This window comes from Homo sapiens, chromosome 9 (assembly GCF_000001405.40).
Source record: "Homo sapiens chromosome 9, GRCh38.p14 Primary Assembly".
Lineage (NCBI taxonomy): Eukaryota > Metazoa > Chordata > Mammalia > Primates > Hominidae > Homo > Homo sapiens.
The window spans coordinates 96,179,714-96,189,158 of record NC_000009.12 but is presented as its reverse complement, the minus strand read 5'-3'; the positions used below and the strand labels follow the sequence as shown (position 1 = coordinate 96,189,158).

The following is a 9,445-nucleotide window of genomic DNA, read 5'->3' as shown; positions in this document are numbered from 1 at the left end:
AGAACCCTATCAACCCCATGGCCACAGGCTAGTTGGGGGACAGGAGCCCTCATAAAAACGTTCTCCACGGATCACTTCCTCAGGGACTCTGATGAAAACACAGCTCAGAGTGTTTAAAAGACTCTCAGCTGCCGTTGGAGGCCCAAGGCCACAGACCAAAACCAGCATTATACCAAGTCCAGAGCTGCTGCAAGACTCTAACTGGCTCTGGCTTCTGTGTCACCTCGATTTTGAGGCCTGATTCCATTCTGAGACAGAAATATGGGCAGCATTTCCAAATACAAGAAATAAAAATTCATCCTCTTCCTTCAGAGTGAAAGTGTGTGAGAACAAAAAGCTGTGTTGGGGCCAAGCCTCTGTGTGGGCAGGGCGACTTCTGGCTTGGCTCCTTTTGTGTTTGTCACAAAATGATTTCATAAACGAGTTTAAGGAAAACCCCAAAACAAAGGAGAAAAACCTCTTTGGCAAAACGACAGTGGGGATGGAGCTATCTTGCTCCAGGACAACTTCTTATGAGGATTCTGTGTGGCTGTTCCGAGTGGTATGTGAATTGGGCTCCTTTGATTTCATTTATGTTTTATCACTGAGTCTTAAACTGGCCATGGGATCTTATCCTCATTTCCAAAGGTGAGGAGCCTGAGGACAAAGGCAGGATGGCCAACCATGAATCAGAGATGATGGGAACGAGTTAACAGCCACGGGAGGGACCTCAGCAGACCCCCGAGTTCTGTGGCCAGTGCAGTGCACTCACAGCACCTCCCAGAAGAAGTCAGTGCCAACAGCTGAGACCAACAATGGGGATGTAGATTTCCACCTTCAGGAATTCACTCACTACATGTTGGTCCTTTTACATTTAGTTGGACACACTTTACAATTTATTGCTAAATATTTTCTGGAGCATACTTCAGTTATGTCTATTATATCAGCTTTTCTAAAATATTCATAGATACATAGGTGTGTGCACGTCTTTCTATTATTTTTATCTCAATTTTCTGTTGTTTCCTGATTCCATGTTGGAATAATTTATTTAATAGTCACTAAGAGTCAACACCATGACAATTTTATGGGATTAAAAGAATTTAAAACCAATAACGTGGGCTTCCCATTTCTTCGGTGTGATTACACATTGTTTTTATGAATATGTAGACATATTAGTTTTAATGTAGGCAGCGTATCTTAGTTAAAAAAAAATTCTGGAATCTGAAAAACAGAAATATCCGTTCATTGCCAATAGTTCCGATGTACTGAGACTTTCATGTTTGTTAAACTTTTTGTGATTCATATAGTTTCTCAAACGAGAAAAACAAGTGCCAGAGATGAGAATTTAATTTACAAAATGCTCTTCCAAAAAATTTTTGATGAGGATATAGGAATCTTTTCTTTTTAATGTAAAAATGTAGTGGAACAAATTCTTACATAAAAATATGCTAATAATCAAGAATTTAACACTGAATTTACTTAGAGTGATTGCATTGTGGATTAACACATAAGCCAAACAATTTACTTTTATTTTCAGCTGCTTTAATATTTTAGTGTGCTGGGTCACCCAGTTGAGAATCCACCTTAATCTCAACCCTAACCCTACCCTACTCCTCACCCCAACCCTAATGCCAACCCTAATCCTAACCGAGCCCTGCCCCCAATCTCACCCCAAGCCCAACCCTAACCCTTTTGTTTGCCTTCCCATCTGTGATGCTTGGCATTGATGCAGCTAACTTGTGCTCAGGCTCACCGCAAACGCCGCCTTCGCCATATCTTTCTATGAAGCCACCTGGAATCTGTGTTTGAGGGAACGTTGGCACTCCCTTCCCTGGAAAGAGAAAGCTGCTGCACAGACAGGCTCTGTGCCTCGCCCCACGCAGCTTCGGTTGGGGGTGCTGCCTCCTGAACTCCAGCATGCTGTTTCATTTATTATTTCTCTTTATTGCCTCTGTGCTGGCAATAAAGTTGGGGTCATAAAATTAGAGTGTGGTCGCCCCGTACGGTTTCCCAGATTTCCATGTCATGTTGGGAAACTCCAAAGTTCCTGATGACTGCCACTGGGTATTTTCAATCCTCTTGTGTAGACTGACACTGAACATAATTTTTTTAAAAAAAGAGAGGATGGAGGGGAGAGGGAAGCAAAGCAAACTTCAACATTTTGGAGCGAACATAGGCTTTATCTGGACGAGGGGTTGGTTATTTATGGCAGATTTGCAATCCTGAATGCCCTTCTCTAGCATGAGAAACATGTAGGCAGGCAGCCCCGGGACCCCTGCAGCCTGGGACCACACAGGGAGAGACACGGCCTGAGCTGTTTATCGCAGACTGGGAGTGCGGGGCCTGCCGCGCAGCTGCCCGGCCAGCGCGCGTGTCTGAACCTGAGCTGGGCCGGCTGCGGGCTGCAGGCGGGCTCTGGGCGGCCACCCAGCTCTGTCACTACGCAGCCTCGCCGAAGCCTTCAGCCAACCAGCAGGTTGATTGACTTTTGTTTCTCCTTGCATTCCTTTCTAAAGGACAAGGAGTGGCTGTGTTTAAAGAGGGAAAACTCAAGGAGGTCTAACCACAGAAACAGCAGCAGTTTTCTTTGTTGCTCTTCCAAAGCAGGGCTTCCGTTTTGAAAGAAAAAGAACAAACAAACAAACGTTCCCCACTACCCCTGCAAATAACATTCTCCTAAAACACACAGACTAAAAAGTATATCAATTTTTATTGCAGTGTCAGGAAATAGCAAACGGTATTGATAACTACCTTTTTTAGTGAGGGCTACGTATATACAGTTATGTGTTGCTTAACGATGGGTACACATTCTGAGAAATGCATCTTTATGTAATTTCATGGTTGTACAAACATTACAGAGTGGTGTTTGCGCAAACCTAGATAGTATGGCCTACTATACATCTAGGCTACAAACCTGTCCAGCATGTGATTGGACTGAATATTTGTAGGCAATTGGAATACAGTGTCAGTATTTGTGTATCTAAACATAGAAGAGGGACAGTAAAAATAGAATTCTCATGGGACCACCATTGTATACGCCAACCATTGACCAAAATGTTGTCATGTGTACCTGCCTATATGTGGTCCGGCATGATTTTTTTACAACCAAGTGGGGTAGGTACTTCACTGTCCCCAAGCTGCAGGTGAGAAGAAGTGAACCTGCCAGCCCAGGATGGCATAGCTGCTAATTCCAGCCCAGGCCTGGCTGGCCCTCAAGAATGCCTCCTGACCCCAGGCAGTATTTTCTTCCTGAACTTGAGTGGGTGGCCATGGCTGCCTCCCAAAGAGGGTGTGGTTCTTAACTGGGAGCAGTTTTTTCCCCCAGGGGACACTTGGCAAAATCTGGAGACATTTTTGATTGTCACAGATTGCTACTGGTGTGTAGTGGGTAGAGGCCAGGGATGTTACTAAGCATCCTGTACAGGGCAGCCCCCATGACAAAGAATTATCTCACTGAAGATGTCCATAGTGTCAAGGACTAGAAACCCTGCCATAGATGTTTCTATTCTGTGACATTTATGTTTAATGTGGTTTACTATGCTGTGAATAATTGGAGGGGAAACTGGATTGTGAAAGCAAAACTGCTCCTGAAAATTGTCACCCATGACAAGTGTTTGGAAAACAAACCAAACCCTACAATACTTTCTTCTTAAAACCTGGGCAAGATCTGCACACCTAGAGGTGGTGTCTAGTGAACAATTGATGGTTGCTTCCCAGTATCTTCTCATCCATTCTTTATGCCTTTTTGCAACAGCTGGGGCAGGATCTCCAGGGGTTTCTGGTGAACCCACACCAATTCCAGATCCTGTGGGGAGGATGTGGCTGAGGTTGAGAGATCAGGCATGTGGTCATCCTGGCCTGAGAGACCAGTGGCAGAGGGGTGGGTGTGTGACCCATGCAAAGGGAACTCCAGGTATTTTCTGGGAATGCTGGGACAGGAGCTCTCCCCTTAAGAGTGGGAGGGAGTGAGAACTGACACTTAGGAGAGATCAGAGTGAAAGGCAGGTAGGATAGGGATCCAGGACTCTGAGGACTTGCAGTTTGACAATTGATCTGCCCTCTGCTTTTACTTCAGCCACTTGCATTTTGCTTTTGTTTTGTTTTGCTTTTTGAGACAGAGTTTTTCTCTGTCACCCAGGCTGGAGTGCAATGGTGTGATCACAGCTCACTGCAGCCTCAACTTCCCAGGCTAAAGCAATCCTCCCATCTCAGCCTCCTGCATAGCTGGGACCACTTTGATTTTTTTTGACATAAATCACCATATATCTTGGGGAACAAATGTCTCCCACTCAGCAAACTAGAACTGCAATAGGGACTCAACTGTTGGGGGTTGGCAGCCTGGGGTTCATGTGGGGATGTCTTCCCAAGGGAATCAACTTGATCTCGATCCTAAATCTCCTCTTCTGAGCTTCTGCCTTACACAGCTGTCTTCCCTAACTGGGATCCCCAGTTAGAACGTTGATGGCTGTTGAGGAGCAGAAATCATGCTGTGTTTTGTCCACCTGGTGAGAACCTGGAGGGTGGGATGATGAATAAGCCAGAGTGTAGGGGGCAGGACCGGCACCTGAGGCAGGGAGCCCCAGCCCTATTCACAAAGCCCCATGTGCTGCCTGGGACCCTCGGTCACCAGGACTCACCTCACACAGCCCCCAATGCTGGTCTCCTGCCCTGCTCTTTTCCACCTGCAAACCTTAGCTGAAGGAGCTCCCTCCGCCTGGAACACCTTCCACCTTCCTACCCTCCTTCCACGCTTGGCTTCAATCCCCTCTCCTCTGCAAAGCCTTCTTGGATTACCCTGAATTCTTAGCCTGTTTATTGACTGTCAGGGCTGAGTCACATGGTGTATTTTCATTATCTACCCAACTAGATTATATGCCCCTGGAAGGCAGGCTTGTGTCCTCTGCCTTTGCATTCTTGCAGTACTAGTTGTCTGGAAGGGCCAATGGCCCCAGGCACAGAGCCACCTAGGGCTGTGTGATTGGGGGTTCCTGCTTTACATGACTTCGTTTGGAAGAAGAGGACAGACAGCTGGCTGGGGAGACAGGCTTTGTGACCCTACACTTCCCAGTCCCGCTGCCAATCAAGGGACTTACATGTGTGTATAATATCCATGTTCTCAGGTGCTCGTGCACTTGCCTTGTTCTTCCATGTGCTTTTCTGCTCCTCACTTTGTGATGATTTCTTCGCACTTCATTCCAGCTTCACTGCTTCCCAGCTGAGGGACTGCTGCCAAGTTCTCAACTTCTATGTCCCTCCTCTCCTCACCTGCACCTGCCCTGTAGGGTAATTATAAGGCTTCAGCGAGCTACGTCCTGGAGGTGCTCCCTGAATGTTACCTGTGAGGAGGAGCAGTGGAGCAGGGGAATGCAGAGGAAGAAGAGGTATCGTGGAAGAAGGGGTAGTCTTACTGGCTATGTATTGAGCAATTTTCAAAGTTGGGAGTGTCTTACGCAGCCATTTGTTTAGACCTTGGCTGTCCAGTGTGGTGGTCACTGGATACAGGTGGCAAGTGAACACTTGAAATGTGGCTAGTGCAAACAGATGTGCCACAAACATAAAAGGCATTGGGTTTGGAAGATTTAGTATGAGGAAGGGAATGTACAATACTTAATATTTTTTCATATGAATTACATGTTGAACTAATATTTTGGATATATTAGGTTTAATAAAATCTATTATTAGAATTAATTTCACCTGTTTCTGATAACAATGTTTTTTGATGTTTCCACTAGAAAATTTCAAATGACATCTGTGGCTCCCATTCGCTGATCTGAATGGGACTTACAGAAAGTGACTTTGGGCATATTGAATAGAACTTGCAGCCCATACAATATCTCTTGCATTGGACAATCATGGCAGAAATCCCACTAGAGCAGCCTCATTGCTTAAAGACCTTGAGCTTTAGGAAATTGTAAGGTTCTCTAGGGAATTTTGAGCTATCAGTCATTTGCACCGTACTATGAATAAGCACCAGAGTCTTTTTTTTGGAAAGCAGATTTTGATATGAGGAGTGGGGTCAGAGGAAGACAGAAGGAAATAAGAACCGTGACAGCAATGAGCAGGGAAGAGAGGGGAAAGGGGCCCCTCCCACGTGGGTGAAAGGAACTGAGTGGGCAGATGGTGAAACTGACCCACAAATGATGCCTTCACGGCTTTGTGTCTTGATTCCTTTTGTCCTTCTCACAGTCCTGTCACGGTGGTCTGCATGTTGTGGGAGCACACAATAACTGTTAGAGCTTGATGGCCATAAATAAAATTTGAAAGAAGGATTTGGCTATATGAGACAATTTCCCACTTGGCATGATTTGGCCTGGAGCCTGCAGACTATCCACGGGGTGACTAACCATCACTTCTTTACTGGGCAAGGAGTTTTCCTGTGTGTTTTTTTCCTCCTTATCTATTTTCATGGCATGTTGAGATGGGGTTGGAGCCAGGACTTCATGCAGAAGTGAAGAGCCTGGTGCTCAGCAGAGGGAGTGGCCTGCTTTCGGTCACACAGGAGCGGTGGATCCCGCAGCTCAAATTTGTCTTGTATCACTGAACTCCACAATGGACAGCCATTCATTCCTTACAGAGCCTTAAGACGGGTGAGTGCGAATAGTAGCATCTGATTCCGAACTTCAGGGAGGCACCCCATCGGAGGGAAGGGTTGTTTTCCAGATATCTGCCTCCCAAGGGGCGATGTTTCATTGAGGCTGGTTTTTGTTTGGTGCTGTTGAAGGGACTTCAATTTCCTGATTTATGAGATTGAGTTCCTGTGATTCTGAGGGCAACATTACTGGTTTTCCAAATCATTTCCCAAAAGAACCTAAATGAAGAAAAATCATTAGTTCCCACAATAAAAGCCATGGAAAAGCTGAGAGCTCTGCCACACGCCCTGAGATGCTGGGGCTGCCTGTGCCTCCAGGGTCTGAATTTTGAGAAAGCCAGCCTCAGAGAAGATTCACAGCCTCAAATGCAATCTCGTTCTCTCTCTCTGTCTTTTTTTTTTTTTTTTTTGAGATGGAGTCTTGCTGTGTCTCCCAGGCTGTAGTGCAATGGCGTGATCTCGGCTCACTGAAACCTTGGCCTCCAGGGTTCAAGCGATTCTCCTGCCTCAGCCTCCTGAGTAGCTGGGATTACAGGAATGTGCCACTACGCCCGGCTAATTTTGTATTTTTAGTAGAGACGGGGTTTCGCCATTTTGGCCAGGCTGGTCTCGAACTCCTGACCTCAGGTGATCCGCCTGCCTCAGCCTCCCAAAGTGCAAGGATTATAGGCGTGAGCCACCACACCCAGCCCTCTCTCTCTTTTTACAAAAGTTGTTCTGTATATATAATTGTCCTTAAATAAACTAATCCAACTATTTTTCTTTTTTCTTTTCTTTTCTTTTTCTTTTTTTTAAAAAGCTTATGAACACTACAAGAAAGCACCCCAGGAGAGACCTCTCTCTGGGGGAGGAACAGTGAACCTGGCTTGCCTGCCTCGGAAAGAAACCCTGAAGGACGTTTTCCTTGTTAAGATTGCTCTTGTTAAAAAGCTGTGCAGTCCTAAAATGTTATTGAACAATAGCTTTTCACACAAAGGCTGTGTAGCCAACAGTCCCCTCTAACCTGCTGCAACTCCTTGGCTTCCATCTCCTGCAGAGGCTGCAGGGCAGGAGCCCAGGGCTCTACTGTGGCCTCCTCGGCCTCACCATCCTCACCAGCTTGGCTTCCATTCCTTCTGAACAGTCTTCTCCCCTGGGTACTTCTATTTCCCTGTCTGTTGGGAGGGCTATAGGAAAAGTGACTTGTAAAACTTTTAGTTAAGACATCTCTTTAGTGCCAATTGTTTGTTGGTGCTGTGATTGTCGAGTTTTGTCTAAATTTTGTCTAAAGTTAGATACTTTACTTGGGAACATTGTCTGATATCTACATCAGAAAAAGATCCGCACAGGTTATTTGCAATCCACTCAAACCAAGAAATTACCTGGATATAGTTGGTGACAAAAGTGATAGTTGGTATCAAGGAATGGGGTTGTCAAAATGTATAGTGAATGTGAATCTTGCTGTTTGTGTTTTAACTTATGGAAATAAATTTCCCCAAAACTTCTTGGGCTGCTCTTTATCCCACTAGATTGTGGGATGTACAGCCAGGAGATCACAGACTCTCAGGATGCCTGGCAGCAAGTGGGGGGCCAGAATTTCTGGCGGTGGAACTTACTGGACAGCGTCAGCCCTGAGAAGGGTATTGAATAAGACATAATTGTCTATGGAACTTGCTTCCACATTTGTAGAGTTAGGGCTCACCCCACCTTGTTTTAATGCCCTCCTTTCCTTCTCCTGACTCCCCTGCCTCCAGCAACCGCAGGTCCTGAATTTTGAGGTACAATCCTAGTATCCCACGGTTTATTCCCTTTCCCCCATAAACTGTGGAGATGCCCAGAAATCTCAAAACATTAGTGCTCAAACCACATCTCCTGGACTGCCTCTTGTACCTGGAAGCACCCGCAGAGGTCTTTGTTGGAGCACATGTTCCTGACTTGGATTGGAAAGCGTGGTTATCATACCTGCTGGGCCTGCACTTGCCAGGCAATGTCTTCAGGAAGCAGTGAGGGAGGTGACCCAACCCGCTGGTACAGGGGAAGACCTGCAGCTGGGCCGCCATGCTCCAGAAGCCTCTCCAATGCCAGGGTGGCGAGTGGTGTGGGTGCCCTCCCCTTTCCTACAGACCCTCAGGATGCTCCTCCCGGGAAGCCTTTTTATAACCCTTTAACCCGATTATGCCTGCATCCAATGGTGTGAGTGTGTATGTATCTGTGTGTATACATTTTTGTGCACTTGTGTCTATATGTGTGTGCACTCTTGTGTGTGTGTATGTGTGCCCACACAATAGGCTCATTCACGGCTTTGTAAGGGTGAAGCCGTCATCATGGAGGCCAGTGCTCATGGTCAGGATGGAGAGCTCTGGACAGAGATGAGATGCAGGTCACCTGTGTCCGATCTAGTTTCTCCGTTGCCACCAGCCACTTCGTGCAAATCACTGTGCTGGCTCCAGTTCCCTCTTCAACAAAATTCAGAAGCTGGCCAGAAGGATTTCTGTGGCTGTTTCCAGCTTGAAATGCTTGCAACGGGCTCGTGGTAGGGAAACCACAGGGAATATCGCAGTCCCTGAGCCTAGTCACAGAGACCCGAATGGATGAGGGGAGGACTCAGTTACTGGAAACTAGAGAGTGCTCAGGACAGAGACTTCTTGACGGGAAGCTGCAGTTGAGGGTAGAGACAGCCTAGAGCGTTCCATGAGGAGAAAGGGAGGAGGAAGGCATCAATATCAAACCTCACTTCCTCTCTCCCTCTAGTTCCCTCTGAAGCTCCCTGTTACCCAAGCACAATGGGAATTGTAATGGTGAGGAAATCTAGACAGGCATGTGGAGATATCTTGCTGACAGGCCTGCTACCTATTTACTGTAAGTTTACAGGGAGCTCCAGATGGCATTCCATTTTCT

General features: G+C 46.4%; 1 long non-coding RNA gene across 1 annotated transcript, besides 1 other annotated feature; it reads left to right on the top strand.

Annotated features, from left to right (window-relative positions):
* Positions 1–280: 280 nt before the first annotated feature.
* Positions 281–8,051, top strand: LOC107987033 (uncharacterized). The gene is made up of 4 exons (XR_001746574.2): positions 281–541; positions 5,179–5,360; positions 6,398–6,566; positions 7,368–8,051. It is a non-coding gene; the product is annotated as an uncharacterized LOC107987033 (long non-coding RNA).
* Positions 1,272–2,070: an enhancer, noted in NCBI's record as "H3K4me1 hESC enhancer chr9:98949371-98950169 (GRCh37/hg19 assembly coordinates)". NCBI's record gives its function as "activates a minimal SCP1, AML or CMV promoter by ChIP-STARR-seq in naive H9 embryonic stem cells {active_cell/tissue: H9 hESC(naive)}" and the evidence as "EXISTENCE:reporter gene assay evidence [ECO:0000049][PMID:30033119]".
* Positions 8,052–9,445: the final 1,394 nt, after the last annotated feature.